This window comes from Homo sapiens, chromosome 6 (assembly GCF_000001405.40).
Source record: "Homo sapiens chromosome 6, GRCh38.p14 Primary Assembly".
Lineage (NCBI taxonomy): Eukaryota > Metazoa > Chordata > Mammalia > Primates > Hominidae > Homo > Homo sapiens.
Window position 1 is genome coordinate 91,473,342 of NC_000006.12, and position 16,841 is coordinate 91,490,182.

General features: G+C 36.1%; 2 annotated features.

The window, feature by feature from the left end:
- Window positions 410-704: a silencer, noted in NCBI's record as "tiled region #15648; HepG2 Repressive non-DNase unmatched - State 24:Quies, and K562 Repressive non-DNase unmatched - State 24:Quies". NCBI's record gives its function as "represses a minimal TATA promoter and a strong SV40 promoter by Sharpr-MPRA in HepG2 and K562 cells {active_cell/tissue: HepG2 | K562}" and the evidence as "EXISTENCE:reporter gene assay evidence [ECO:0000049][PMID:27701403]".
- Window positions 2,657-2,857: a silencer, noted in NCBI's record as "peak5963 fragment used in MPRA reporter construct". NCBI's record gives its function as "represses an SCP1 promoter by STARR-seq MPRAs in K562 erythroleukemia cells {active_cell/tissue: K562}" and the evidence as "EXISTENCE:reporter gene assay evidence [ECO:0000049][PMID:32103011]".

Sequence of the window (16,841 nt, forward strand, 5' to 3'; positions counted from 1 at the left end):
AACCTGTGGTTTTCAAGGGTCAACTGTATATCCATCGCACACCACACACACTTTGAGGCAAGAGTAGCAGAGCTTTTGTGGAGCTTCTGTACCTCCTTCCAACAGCCAGTTATTGGCTATAATCTCCCCTGGGGGGAGAATGGATATAATTTCAGGCACTTTTGGAGAAGCAAGAACTCTCCAGCGAAGTTTGCAGGTGTGAGCTGTTAGCAGCAGCACTCATAGAAGCTGGAGAATGGAGAACATCAGCCTAGTTAAAGGAATCCAACTGTGTATGGGTAAACCATCAGTAGTATCTTCTATAGCCTATGCCTTGCATTACTGAGATGCACTTGTTTTTCATATTCACTCCATCCTGTTGCAGCTTTTCCAGGATTCCTGTTAGCTAACATTTCTGGGAAAACTTACAAGAGCAACGTTGACAGGAAAAACAACAGCCTCCCTTTCTGCATTTGGTCCCAGGGTCATTATTGATACATGTCATGTCCTTTGTTACCACCCATTTTAGACTGTTTTTACACTCAGCCACATCTACTGGTCTGGGTGGCTTGCCTCATGGGATAATCCACTTGGGCATCCAGATGGAACCTCTAAAAACAAAGTAAACTTTTCAAAAAGTTAAAATTATGCCTATCATCCAGACTTAAAGTGAATACATATTAAATATTTATGTTTCTTAATGTAAAGAATGCTAAAGCTAGTTTTAATCTTATCTTTTTAGATCACAAATCCTCTATTCCTCTATAATCTGCTGTTCAGTCTATCCATTTTGTCTTGCTTTCAGTTGGTTATACTTCAGTTTTAGATTTTCCCTCTGATATATTTGTTAATGCATTTTAATATTTGGCAAAATTCTCTATATTTTTTCTTTTTTTCTGATTATAATATTTTCTAACTTCCTGTATGATAACTTAAATATCTGGATAACCTATGGATATATTTAAAAACTTTTTTTCTCTTGGCTTTTAGTAATTTTCTTCTGTTTCCTAACACAGATAGACGGTTTTTAATGATTGCTGGATACTGAGTATGCAAAATTGAGAGGCTCTGTGTGATGTTATATTCCTGCAGAGATAATTCAACCTTATTTTGGAAGGCAAATAAAATATGAACAGATCACCTTAATCTGCCCATTTTAGAAATCTCAGCTGGAAACCTACAGTATTTACTATGGTGCTTCTTTTTGATGAGTCTTGAACTCAAATTTTGGTTTCTCTAGCTCCATGAAAATGCCGGAAATCCTCTTGGCTTTTTTATTCTCTTAGCAGCTACTTTTTTTCTTTATTTTTCAGAGCCTTGCCTAAAATACACCTTGCTTAGAAATCATCAAATGCCTCAAGTGGAAAATAAGAGCTAAACATTGGACTCACTTTTGTGTGAGTGCCTTTTCTTTGGCATGGTGCCTTTCCAAGTCTTGAAGGGTTGGGTTAGCACCAAATTCATATTTGTCTCTGCAATTCAGTGATACTCTCACAAGCTCTAAGCTGAGGCTTCATATTGCCTCATGTCTCTACCTCAAATTGTCAAATGTCTTGAAATGACCTTGAATGTAAGACTATCTCAGGGCGTTTTACTTTTCTCCAGTATCTTGGCACTTTGAGTTCTGCCTGCCTTAATTGCTTTTCAAAGCGTTCAAACAATTGTGCCCCTGCTCCCTCTTTCTCTAGCTTTGTCTCTATCTCTATCTCTCTCTTTTCTCTCTTCCTCATTATTTGGCTCTCATATTTACTGAGAAAGTTGTTCTGGTTGTTCTGATACGAGACACTCAATCATAGTAAGAAGTTGAATTTTCTTCTGGTCTTTAAAGCCCACATAAGAATGGGAAAAAAAACTGCAGGGTTTTGCAAGGCAGAGCAATAAAACTAAGAGTTTCTCATCAATCAGGACCGTGGAACGACCACAACTCCAAAACGTGTTTAAGAAAATATAGAATCCTTACTCTGTCATGCTTTGGATGGCAATACATTTCTGTGAGAAATCTGTGCCTGAAATTGTATCTTTCCTGAATTCGTTGTGACAATATTAACTAAATGATATATCAAACCTCTAGCTTAGAAATGACATTGAAAGTGGGCTTGAGCTAATAATACTCCATGATGGTATATAAAGGCAAATGCAAAACTGTTATAAAAATACCTCCGTGGCAGGAGAATGGCGTGAACCCGGGATGCGGAGCTTGCAGTGAGCCGAGATCGCGCCACTGCACTCCAGCCTGGGTGACAGAGAGAGACTCCATCTCAAAAAATAAATTAATTAATTAATTAAATTAAATTAAATAATGCTTCAGCAAGGCTGGGCGTAGTGGCTCATCCTTGTAATTCCAGTACTTCAGAAGGCCAAGGCGGGAGGATCATTTGAAGCCAGGAGTTTGAAAACAGCCTAGGCAACATAGCAAGACCCCGTCTCTACCCACTAACCCCTGCCCCCCACAAAAAAATTATCTGGGCATGATGGCACATATTAGGTACTCAGGAGGCTGAGGTGGGAGGATTGCTTGATTTAACAGCAAGTAGGCTTTCAAAAAGGTTATTAGATAGGTAAAAAAAAAAAATTGTTGGATCATTTGAGCGCAGTTAAATGCCAAATGCTCCTGGTTTGCACAGCAGCACTTTGTGCTGTAGGAATTCAGTGTTAGAGTAAAGCCCCCGCCACCTGTTCCACTGTCACTTCTGCACTGCAAACTTGATTTTGCAGAGATTATAATCACTGCATTACACAGAAAAAGTGCTCCGCTGCCCTGGCTGCTTGCTTGTTTTTAGCTGACTCATCCAATCTGGCAGAGGGTACGTTTGATTGAAGGAGCCTAAGTCACATGGCCCTTCTGAAGTGGCCTAGAGCTGGAAAAGTGAACATCACATTTTTAGCTTTCACTTTAAGGGTGAGCTGTGCCTCCTGTTAGGATTTCTACTAGGGAGGAAGTTCAGGTGTTAGTTGGCCAAAAGAATGGCAAATATCCATGACTAACAGGAAGAAGAAAGACTGACCATTGTCACCCACTACTTCTCCTCTACAATTACCAGATGGACACAGTGAGATCAGGAAAAGAAATAAGAACTCAATGAATTGGAAAGAAGAAAGAAAACCCTCCTTTTTTCACAGATGGTATGACTAACCACATAGAAAATCTAAACAAATCTATAGATAGCCTTATGAATTAATAAAGTTTGAAGCTTTGCTGCAAACAAATCAGCATATGAAAATCAATGTTTTGTCTACATCCAGCAATAGCACATTGTAAAATTTCAATATATGTGCATTTTATAATAGCAACAAAAACAATTAAGTACTCAAGAAAATATTCCATAAATGTTGTTTAAAAACTTTGAAATGTAACATTACTTCAGGGCCCAACAGATCTATAAAATGAGGAGATATTTATTGATCTTATTTAAGCAGAATAAATACTGTAAAGATAACAATTCTCAAATAAATCAATAATTCAGTGTAATTCCACTTAGAATGCTTAATACAATTTTTAAACAATGCAAACTCATCAAACTGAGATAAAACTCAAAAGAGAGTAAAGAACCAAAAGATGATAGAAAAACAAAATTAAATTGTTTGGTGATTTCATCTGAAGAGTTGTGTTTCTGCTCATGCTTGTTAAGCATGTAATGATATGCCATTAAGAATAAAAGTTGCTATAGGCTTTTGATTAGCTATTTCAGATTAAGGAAATTCCATTCTATTTCTAGTTTGCTGTTTTTTAAATCATAAAAGGGTGTTAAATTTTATCAAAATGTTGGGCATTTATTGAGATGAATATAAGCTTTTAATTTTTCTCCTTTAATAACATGGTGAATAAATTACATGTTAACCTTTCTTCCATTCTTTTAACAAACTCAGTCTTATTGTGATTTCAAAAATAATTGATCGATCCAGCTTACTAATTTTATTATAGGATTGTTGCATCTAGTTTGGGATGTGAGATTTGCCAACTTTTTTTTTCTTGTATGTTATTTACCTATTTTGGGGGAACTTTCCTCCTTTTTGGTTCTTTGGAATGGAGTTTATCAAGTAGGAATAATTTGGTGGTTGAAAGATTGGTATCTTTTAAATGTTCTGGACCGTATTTATTGATGTTGTTTTGTGGGTAGAGTTTTAAGTGCTTCTTCAGACTCTAATTCCTGGGCCCTGGAGATACTGCCTCCTGTGCAGCCCTCTGATGCCATTCTAGGACCACCTCCACACTTTCAAACCTAAAATAACCCCACTGTGCTGCCTGGAAAGCAGTCAGTAATTAGGCAGTACTTCAACTCTCATTCCTGATTTTAAACAATATCTCAACCCTTGGGTATGTAATTGCACACTATCCTTTCTAGTTGTACCAACTTTTAGATCATTTCTTCATTTCATTTGCGGATTTAACTCCTGGCTCACTATCAGTATCTCCAACATGACCCTCATGTTATTTTGGGGAGATTTCATTATTTAAGTAGATAATCTTTCAATACAATGGCTGTTCGATTCAACCGCTGCTTTCCAATGATCACGTCCCCCACCCTACTTAAGCCATCCATTTCCATTGTCCTACACCAGTCCCTTTCACGACTAGTAACGGCAACATGTACATAATCTTATTTCAAGTCTCCCACTCTCCCATAACTGTGTCCTGTGTTTTCAATTTTTTATAACAATTCTATCCAACTCTAATACTTTTTAACTGTTCTTTAGATCTCCTCCTTCATTCTTTCTTTAATCTAAATTTCAGCCAATCTTTATAACTACATTCTCAATATGGGGTTTGCAGAGGGGTTAATTCTCAGACCGGCAACCCTCAACCATCAGGGAATGGGATACCCTAGCTTGGGATAATTCTGATGTCTGCTCTCCCTGGATCTTCAGAGTCCCCAGAGGATGTGAGATAGCATTAACACTTTTTTAAAAAATTTAAAAATTTTTAAATATTAAATTAAAAAAATTAGGCACCAAACATGAAGTCAGCTTTAAATACATGACATATCTGGGGAGTACAAAGTCAATTTAATGAATGCCCATAAGGAAAGAACTTTTCTGCCTTTACCTTTCTTCCTTCCCTATTTGTGCCTGATGGAATGTGATTAAATACCATGTGCATTTGATAGATGCAGCTTACTAATATTATTATAGGATTGTTGCAGCTAGTTTGGGATGTGAGATTTGGCAACTTTTTTTTTCTTGTATGTTATTTACCTATTTTGGGAGAACTTTCCTCCTTTTTGGTTCTTTGGAATGGAGTTTATCAAGTAAGAGTCATTTGGTTGTTGCCAAATACGATGTGATTGGGAAGATAGGAGAGGGATATAAGCACAAGGCAGGGGAGGAGAGAAGGACCACAATCCTTGTCCCTGGCCTACTGCTTGATACAGGTCCAGTAACATAGAAAAAGATTTAACATCACAATGAGTTTGGAATTTTTATTTATTTTAGGACTAGATATTTTAAATAACTGAATTGAGATTTAATTGTGATTAAACCATAGGATTTCTTGTTGCCTAAGACTGATCAAACAAGTTATGGGATTATGGGAATTTTTATCAGGGATCAAGGAAGAAACTTCCCCCACTAAACACATTTTAAAGAGCTGTTTAGAGAAAAGAAGCATTATTTTACTCTATACCCAGGAGTCTTGCTTGTTTAATATATCTGTAACACATATATTGTGCATGTTTGCAAGAATGTGGTTCAGGTTTCTTCCCCTGTGGATTGATACAAACTCTTCAACAAGAGTGACTAAAGGGAAAAATACTCTTTCTCTGTTCTGGATAATATTTTTATCTATTTTCTTTTGGTCTTCATTGGCTGATCCTCTGCCCTAAATGGTAGAGCATTATTAAGGTCAAAGAAATGGAATAATATAGAGTTTGCTTTGTAGTTCTTTCCATGTGGTCCAATTGCCTAATCAACTTTTCTGTCCTGCATTTACTTTAGTTACTCCTACTAGGACCTGAGCACGGAGTTTTCAGAAGGGCCCTAGGCCCTGTCAGAGGGTTAAGAGGGACGTGCTCTCAAACTCCTTATTTCTTCCTAGGAGTGTATGTTTTTGGTGAGCAAAGCAACTGCTGAGCAGGAGAATAGGATGATAATGGTCCCCAGTATAATAAAGCGGAAGGGATGTTGAAAAGAGGAATATGATAGTGTGGTATCACATTGCATCCTAACTGCTGAATTGTTCAATGGGCTTTTGCAAAGTTAAGTACCATTCTGAAAGATAGGATCTGTACAGTTTTCTTAAACTGCCATGAGTGAGCTATGAGCCTAAGGTATAGTCCTCATCCCATGGAAGAGGTGAACAAGGGCCTCATTTTTAGTAGCATAAATTCCAAGAATCTGCCAAGGCCGTAGGAAACAGTTAAAAGAGAAAGACAGGAAGTGGCAAGGAAATTGATACTAATCAGAAATTTCCGAGGCCTCTCATATGGAATACGCTGACCCTCAAAGTTTCTTTTTGGCAAGAAGAGACCATAGAGTTTCTATACCTGAATACTTAACCTAAGTATGGGTGGGTTGAAGTAGAGTTGAAGAGATGTGGACTCTTTGTGAGACCTGTAGCCAAATACAGTTTTCAAACTTGATTTGTCAGTGGCAGGTGTGGCCACACAAATAAAATCTGCTTTTAAGTTTAATTATATCAGTACAATCTCAAGTACCATGTTTACATATTCAAGACTGATAGTTGATGGATTTTTCCTATATTAACCATTTAAGTAAGATAATTATTTGCCATTCTGTGACATTTAATTACAATGCTATGACTAATTTATATAGTTGGAAGAAAAAATTGCTTTATATGTCATTTAAGATTTGTATGAACACATTTAAACTGCAGAAAAGATTGCTTAGAAAAATGCAGAGCTGGCTCCCAAGAGCTCTTGATTACCTTCTGTATCAAGACCATTTTTTTAAAATTGGCTGTACTATCACAGCATAATTTCAAGGTGACCACCTGTCAAAGAGCTTCTGCGGGAAAAAGGCAAAATGTCTCCCTGTCTTATTTGTACATTTATTTTTATAAACATTTCTAATTTTCCAGAGGGTATTATAGGCTAAAATTTAATGGGATGGTAATAGTTAGCAATGAGTAAATAACATGAATTCTCAGTTGATGTAAATTTCATGCCAGGTTTGAATGATGAAGGTAAAAGCTAGCATGGAGACTAGAAACACATTTAATAGCAGATGTTCAGTTGTGCAGGAGAGATCTACATAAATAACAAAGTTTGCCCTACTTGTGTTGAGAGCATTCAATTTCTTTTTTTTCCCAGGAAGTGAATTGTACTTTGGACTGAGCCGAGTCATAATTAAGCTGTACTAAGAAAACATTCAAGTAACAATGATTTGCAAATGATCAAATTATTGTCAGCTTAGCATGGGGCTTCACCAGCTGGAGTGATTTCTCTATTATAACCATATGTCTGTTAATAAATTTGATTCAAATGTATAACAATTACAAATATTTTAGAGACTGGGCAGAGCAATTAAAATCAGGTAAGGTTGTTCTTGTGACTTGGTCTTAAAATAAATGAAGAGACTACAATGATGAAGCTAAATGCTACTTGGTTAGAGACTGCAAGATGCGATAAAGCAGTTAGCATGTCTAAAATCGAATTGTTTCAGATGTAGTATGTTGACCCATCACACAGGATGGCTTAATAGAGTGTCACTTAAAACACTGAAAGCACCGTGCAGGCTTCAGAGGAATTCCCCTGTTATCTTCCTGAGTTTACCTCATGAATGTTTCAATAAAAGTGGAGAAGAATGATCATTAGCAAAGTGGAATTACAGAGTAGGTCATTTGGGGGCACAATACTGTACCTGACTTTTAAAAAAGTAATGATCTTGGTAAAGGTACAAGTGAAAAAGAGACTTTTTGGGGAGTATTTTTTCTTACGTCTTTGAAGGAGTAGAAGCTTCATCTTCCAGGAATTTTTAATCTTCCTTTCTCCCTAAATCTGCTCTTTGAGCTCCTTAAGATACATTAATCTGCAATGTCCCACTGTCTCCTATCGCATTTCCCAGTTTAAATTATCTGGAAAAGGCAACTGTACTTCTGTACCATCTTTACAAATTCATGATCTTACTAAAAAGTGTGTTACTGAAACTGCTGACCTCTCTCATCCTCACATCTTACAAAAACACAGTCCTGACAGCTGTATTAGCAAAATTGTAAATCCAGTAAAGAAGTTATTAATATGGAAAGGTCAGTACATGTCAGAAATGGTAAAGTGTGGATAACTGATAGAAAATTACAAATTGGGAACTGCTTTGAAGAAGGCAAAAGAGCCTTTAACTGGTTCAAAATATTTGAAATTTTGATAATTTGTTTAATGACTTGAATCATCATAATCTTTTGGAAATTGATTGGATCATGTATATTTTTCTTTGAGGGCAAATTTCTTCTACATCTTTATTTCTTTTTTCTCACACACTGAATTGTTCCTTTTTTAGCTATATATTTTATGGTATAACTTTTAATTCTTCCTTGTAGAAAAACAACATGGTTTCTGGAAGACTCAGTTATTCTTCCCAGAAATTTTAGATTTTTTGAGACACAAACAAACATATGAAGAAACAGTTTCTGAATCTTAAAAACCACATTGAGTTCCAGTTCTAAAATCAGCGGTAAATATAGGCATATAAAACAATGTAAACTCTACTTGTCATCAGAACAGTAGCCTATGGACATAGTAAGTGTTTAATATTATTTTTGAATCAATTATTTTTATTTTTAGAAACAAAAAGGCAAAGATGAGACTGTATTTCCTGAGTGATATAAACTAACAATTGTCTATTCAAAGAATATAGCTGTTTGTCTGCTCTTATGTAATATTCTTAATTATCTGAAAGAGGAATGGCCTAGTGAGAACTCCACCTTTTAGATGTCCATGACCTCTTCCAAGTAGTCAGTAACTTGCTATGGGAGATGAGCCTGGGAATTCTGTAAGGTAATTAGAATGTTACTTTTAAATCTGGATCATTGCATTTTATGTTAATTTTCTCACTTGTTCTTTACAATAACTTTTTGAAATTTGATTATGTAGGCAGGACAGTTACGGTTGCTTTTTACAGATAAACAAACTGAGGCTGTGAGAAGTAAAAGGATTTCCCCAAGTTCATTCAACCAGCAGTGAAACAGTTTGTATTGAAACAAAGGATGTTTGACTCCTACTCCTAGGCTGCCTGATGCAGTAAAGGCATCAGAAGCCAAATGAATGTATAAGTTCACAAAGGATTAGATACATTTTGATGTCAGATTCATAACAGATTGTTAAAGGTCATCAGGTGTTCTTAATATACACTTCCTGCTTCTTCAGGGTAATGTCATGGTGGGTAACCATGCAATCCCCTAAAAAACCCTTTGCTGTCACTGTCAGAGACAGATTTCTGGACTCTAGGCCCATTGGCCTGTCCCAGTGAGTCATTTCTCAAGTTCTTATCTTTTGGATACAGAAGCATATTACTTGAGAGTGTGAAGGGGAAGTTGGCTTTAATCTTAATTGCCTGCATAACAGTATTTTTAAAATGATCTCACTCTGTAAAATATAAAACGCTACCACTACCATAGAAGTCAGGAATGTTAGAGCAGAGCAAAGATTATTAGAAAAGTCAAGCTTGCAATATACATTCCATCCCTCTGAATTTGCCATTAAAACACGGTTGCAGTTCCAAGCAGACCATAGCCAGACTGCAGAATGCACAGTCTGTGTAACTACTCTATCCCTACTCAATTTGCATGCCAGGACAGAACAGGTATTTATCTAAATGTTATGTAATTTTTTTTGTTTCCTTGATGTTACTGTGCTCCTCTAACGTCTTTGTTTAAATCGCTTGTTTATGAAAATAGCGCAATATAGGTTATGGGTATGATGCATGTGGCTTCTCATATGATAGATATTTTGTTAATCAACATTTTAATTTTACTATGTTCATTCCATGATTAAGCCAGTTATTTGATCTTATTAGGGATTTACCTGATTTGACTAAAAGAGCTACGGAGCCAAAACCATGGGTTCAAGTACTGAAGCAGCTGTTTTTGTTGGCCAATATAAGATAAATACAACCTGGCTTAGATAGCACTTATACTCTGATGCGTCCTAAATCTAAACAGATAATATATTATGCTTTCAGTTGCCTGTTTTCGCAGTAACTCATGATTTCACATAATAAAAGAAACTATGTACAAAAAAACATTTAATTCCCAGACTTTTACAGAAGTGGCCTAGGAGAGGGGGTGAGGATACCCGATTCTGTGTTGGTTTCACATGTAGACAGTTAATCTGACTCAGAATGCTACTGCTTTCCACGGTAAAGGGAAAGCTCATGACTAAAGTGTGCAGCAGAAATGGAAACTTCTAAGATCCATGCTGTTGTTGAGTTTTAAACATTTTATACAACATTTTAGTGGGTACAAGCTATTTTCCAGGCTTATAGTAATTTCTGATACATCTCTTGCTGGCTGAGAAAGGTGATCAAGTGTATAAATTCCATAACATATCAAATCTCTATTCACTCATATATTCCCATGCACACATGCCTCGAAGCCGGAAGATTTGGATTAGAGCCTGTGCTGGTGCTGCTGCTTATTTGCCCTGTCATCTTGGGCAGGTTATTTTAGGTCGTAGGTTCTTAGTTACTTCCTTTGTGAAATGTGAAGATCAAATCTGCTTTGATTAATTTAGCATGCTCTAGCCTAGCAAAATTCTTAATGATAAAAAGTAATTATTATTAGTAGTAAGTTTTTGGCATGGAATATGACAGTACATGTAAAAATACTCTGAAGACTTTAAAACACTATGTTTAGTTAGCTACTACTGAATAATTATTTCAAATAATGTTAACATAAACATATGCTAAGCATGTACTCAAATAGAATGTTTGCCTATATAACATTTTAAAGGTAAGTTTTAAAGTATCAAGTGAAAATATTTTTGATTTGTATGTATATATAAATGTATGTGTATATATACATTCTTAATATGGTATAGCATGTGACTATCACAATTCCTAATCTAGATATTTTACTCTGTGATCTTGGGCAAGGTATTTTCCTTTGCTCACCTAAATAGGTTTTTTAAAACTTTTTACTTTATCTATTAAATGTAAAGTAAAACAATCTGTATCAGAGATTTGTGGGCAGAATTAAAGGAAGCCAGAGTACTTGGATCTTCAGGCCGGGCGCTGTGGTTCACGCCTGTAATCCCAGCACTTTGGGAGGCTGAGGTGGGCAGATCACGAGGTCAGGAGATCGAGACCATCCTGGCTAACACGGTGAAGCCCTGTCTCTACTAAAAACACAAAAAATTAGCCGGGTGTGTTGGCGGGTGCCTGTAGTCCCAGCTACTAGGGAGGCTGAGGCAGGAGAATGGCATGAACCTGGGAGGTGGAGCTTGCAGTGAGCCGAGATCGCACCACTGCACTCCAGCCTGGCCGACAGAGCGAGACTCCATCACAAAAAAAAAAAAAAAAAAAAAGAAATAGATCTTCAATAGACCCTCACTAATTATTATTAGAATATGGATCATGCAAAATTGTATGACAGCCAAGTTAGGTTTCAAAACATATCTTCCCACTCTAATATATAATGCTTCACAAATTTTTCTACATGTAAACAATAATGTACATATCAGAAAGAATAAATTGATGTGGCTTAGAGGTAGAGCTTTTACATATGGAAGACCCTGAAATCTTTAATTTTCTACTAAGCTAGGGGCATAAACTGCACTTTTAAAATTTTATAACCCTATACCTTTCCAGGAGCTAGTACATATTGTTTGATGAATTCTTACAAAACTTAAAAGATGAGAGAGGAATTATTATAAAAAGGAACAGATGATAGAATCACCTGGGGGCATCCATAGCTCTCAGGCATGTATTTTCCTACATAGTTGCTGGGTCCATGCTGCTATTGTGCCTCCCTCTGGGGACAGCACACATGTGCAGCCACATGCAGTGTAGCAGGACATCCTTCTCCCATATCCTCCTCCCTGTCATACTCTTAATTGGTCTAATGAGCTATGTTGACATGGAGCTCTCTCTACTACTATGTTCTCAGGACATGGGAAACAGCACATTTTCCTGTGTGACCCAAATGGGGCATCTCTAAAAAACGTAGTAGTAGCTGCACATCCGGTGTGTCTATCCATGGGAGGGTTAAGGAAACCTACCATAAGTCTGCTCTTGGGTGGACTTTTTCAAATTGAGTTCTCTCATTGCTTCAAAGATACCAAGTCAGGACACAGAGATATACTTGGATCTTCAAATGTTTATTTTATTTTTCTTTAAATCTGAGCAGGATTTACAGGTCTTTTCTCTCCCCCTTCCACCCCTCAACAAATGTGTTGAACATAGGTCTATTTCATTTAGGTCCTAAGCAATGTGCTCTACCAATGATCTATGCTGCCTCAGGGCTTGGCTGAATTTAATGATTTATTTGGATCCACAGATAGCTGCCTAGTCAATAATCTTTGATGTGGGAATGTAAATGATTACATTTGAAGATTGCATATGAAGAGCAATAATTATGCCTACATTTTCATATATCTGTGAATACTTTAAAATATATGTGAGAATAGATTAATTTTAAAAACTTGCGACTTTACTCTTCTAATTAGCTTTTCATTGGAAAAGCATGAGTTCAGAATTACTTGAAACAAATTTTTCTTCTTCTCTAGAAGGGGATTCATTTAAGACTAGGAATGGTAGGACATGCTGTAGATGGAACTAAAGCTGAAGAAACATACACAATGGACAATTTATGACCTAAGAGCTAAAAATAATTGACAACAAAACTGCTGCCTATTATGTTAAGGTTCTCTTCTGGGGATTAATGGAATAAGATCATTATAACTAGAGGCCTCTTGTGGACATGGTACAGGTATATGAAAACATTCATATCAATAATGAAGGGAATCTATATAAGGCATTTTCATGAAATTTGTGAATCATCATAATTAGGACTACCAGTGTAACTGTCACAGTACATTGGACAGTTCTATTCTAGGCTCTTTTATTTTATATTTACAGCCAAAGGATGAGCTAATCATTATATCCTCATCTGGTAGATGCATTATTTGAGAGGTTAATTATTATGCCTGTGGTCACCCATCTTAAAAGTCAGTAGAGGGAGTAGTTAAACTCATGTCTGTCTGATTTAGAGCCGGTGTCTTAGCCACTACTTTACAGTATCTCTAAAATGACTTACTCAAGATTTTAAAAAGTAATAATAATAACTTGAAGTAATTGGTAAACAATAACTAAAATAGAATTTAAAATACAAACCTGCAACTGGAATCAAAAGTTCAATTGCCAAATTGGTAAGATAGAGATTTCGCTTAGTGAAATTTCACATAAAAAAGAGTTGAGGAGGCTACAGCAAGGGAATTTTGTATTAACATTGTGATTTAGCTCCAAAACCCTTGACTATATTAACAACATTTCTTCATGGGTCAGCTACTGGGTTTTGGGTAGGATAATTTTTCACCGTGCAGAGCAGTCTCTGTTTGACAAGAGACTTAGGATCCATAGGCCTTACCCAATACTGCCGGTAGTACATCCAGGCAATGAGATAATAATTCACATATAAAACACTCTTTACTCCTGCAATGGCTTGGTTGAGAACTACTGCAGTAGTAGACATATACTAGTCAATAAAATAGGAAATAATAGGTAAATATTTCTTTGAACTAGTCAGAAATTACTGAGCCCATTTTCATCATATTTAAAAAGAAACCTTTATTACTAAAAGAAATTTCAGAGAATAATTGATTCAAAATTGTTGAATTTTTGCGAAACATCCTAGTACATGTGTAATACATTTTTCTCATTGCCTAACTAGTTTTCATTGGATTTCAGTCACATGCAACCAAACTGTCCTAACTAATATGTTAGCACAAGGTTCCTAAGACTTAGAAGAGTATATTACAAGAAATGCCACAAGAATCGGGATTCTTTAATCTGAAATAATGTTGACAGAGGACATGATGTTTTCCAAAATTTGACGGAAAAAAATGGCTTAGGAATTAGATTTGTATCATGGACCCCAAATAGCAAATCTGAGGCCGGTGCTTTGATAAGAGAATAATTAGAAATGGCTTTAAAATAAAAGAACTATCTTGAGAGATGGGGACTTTTTTTTTATCATTGTATGTGTTCAAGGGGATGCAGCCTTCTCAGATGTTGTCTGTGAATGAGATGGGCGGTTGGCCTCTTGAGGTCTCATTCAGTGATGTTAGACCCTATGAGTCTATCTCTTTTGGGTGTAAGGTCATTGCAGATTCACTTACTTCTAACATTTTTTTTCATAAAATGCGCTTATTTTACTTCTACATTCTCTGAATACACATCAAGTAATACATTCTCCTGAAGACCTAATTTTAGATGCACAAAAACTGCATAGATTTAGACTGAGATCAAAATATCAAGCAGCACATCAGGGTCCCCAGAGCTTTCTGCACCTGAAAAGAAGAAAAGAAAAATCCAAACACTTTATTAGCAACTGTACACTTTCCTTAGAACACGTAGGCTTAGCCTGCTGTGTTCCCATCAGTTAGTCTTCCCTCCTCTGGGGAGGCACTCAAAGCCAAGCTCATCAGGGCTGCAAAACATTCTGTGAAGAAACAAAGCATTCATGGTTAATGAACTGGTCCTGCAGGACTAGCCTGTTAATGGGAAACTGGCCCTCAGTAACACTAAGGTGAAAGATTTTTCCTGCCCTCACATCCTTCCCTCCCAACTTACTCTTATTTCTACAGGAGAAGAAAAACCTCTTTGATTACTATAAGTTCTTATGAGGCTACGAAAATCTCCTATTGGAATCACCATAATTCTGTGAAACACAGAATTGGCCCAAAAGTTCTGCAATCAGCAAGGATTACACAATGTACAGATGCTTTGTTCCTCATTTCCCTTGATTCAGGGTGTATTTATTCACTTAAAATTGTGTTACACCCTAAAGAGGAAATAGAAGAAGACATCATGAGATATTTGACTTAGTAAAATTTTTAGTATTTCACTCATTTCCAGGATAAGTGCCTGAATGGAAGAACTTGGATCTTAGACCTCACTAGGATTAATTATCTAAAATGCAGATCAGCCCTGCTTGCTGTTCCTATGAGAGGATGATCCTTTTATTCTGCTATGTAATTAATTTCACCCTGCCCTCCTATTGCCACCTCTCTTTTTGGCTTTCCTCTGACCAACTTTTCTAATGGAAGGCCCATGAGATGTACTATGGATCACCTGCTCGTCCGTGTGTTACACAGTTTTTTAAAAATGCTTTGTTTTTCAATAGTATTTCTATTATAAATTTACTCTTGTGCCGAATGTCTCAATTCTGTATCCCATTGTTGATTTCTATAGAGCTCTGTATTTCTTACTTTCTTATTGACTCTTTCCCTGGGACACCCTTTACTACCTAATAAAATGTAATCTGCCAATAGCAAGCTCACTTCACTTTTGCAATACTCACAACTGCATCCTCGCAGTATTGGGACCTCAGATTCTGCTGTTTCTAGACTTGGACACATTGGCGTGTTGTGTCCCACTGCTCTATATACCACAAATACTTTTCCATACGAATTTTAGACTTTGGAATTCACTTTATTATTCCTGGACTAATTTCTCACTGCTTTAGACATGGACTTCTCTCATTGCCACAAAAACTTTAATATATATCTTAAACACTGAAAATAAGAGTACTAAAAACTTTATAGGAAATAGTCACCTGTCCTAGGAGGCTTTTTATTATGAGACCCAAGTATTTCTATATTAAATATCCATCCTCAGGTAGATACAAACGATCAAATGTGCCTTCCAAGTTTACTTGCCCTAACTTGTCAATACTAACATTATTCCTTGTGTTAAATGCTTCTTAGTCCCAGTAACAACCTCACACCCAGATAAAGATGCATTCCTCAACCCACACCTCTTTTTTGGTGAAGATATTGAGACAATAAATAGATAAATATCTTGTTTAACCTTTAGGACCTAAGTAGAGTAATAGCTGAATCCAGATCTCAGGTGCATGTATTCTCAGCCAAGTCCTTTCTTTTCTTTAAATTTTTTTTATTATTATACTTTAAGTTCTAGGGTACATGTGCACAACACACAGGTTTGTTACATATGTATACATGTGCCATGTCTACAACCATCTGGTCCTTTCTTATGTAAGGGGTATAACAGTGGTGTTTGAAATCAGCATTACATTTCACTTTTAATATCTTCCTTCCTTAGCCTGATTTCTTTTGAATCTTAAATATTTTTTAATCAGAAATTTCCTCCATCACTGACTTGCATTTTGGCCCAAGTGGAAAATTGAGGTCCTCCCATAGAGAAGTTTCCCTTGACTTTAAATACTTAAAGGTTAACAATTGATTATAATCCTCCATTTCTATTACATAACCAAAAGAGTAAGTAAAATTTGAATTAGTTAGCAGATGTGGCAAATATGTATAAAAATGTAAAAGTCCAAGTGAGGTACTTTGATATAATTTAAAAATTATAAATAAAACACAGCAAAATGAGGAAGACCAGTAAAGAGAGCTGTGGTGGAAATGCAAATTAATATAACCTCTATGGAAAACAGTATGGATATTTCTCCAAGAACTAATGATAGAACTGCCATTTGGTCCAGCAATCCCACTATTGGGTATCTACCCAAAAGAAAAGAAGTCATTATATCAAATAGATACCTGCACTTGTACATCACAGCACTATTCACAATAGCAAAGATATAGAATCAACCTAAATGCCCATCAGTGGCTGATTAGATAAATAAAATGTTCATATATATATATATATATATATATATATATATATATAAAATACTATTCAGCCATAAAAAAGAATAAAATAATATATGTTGC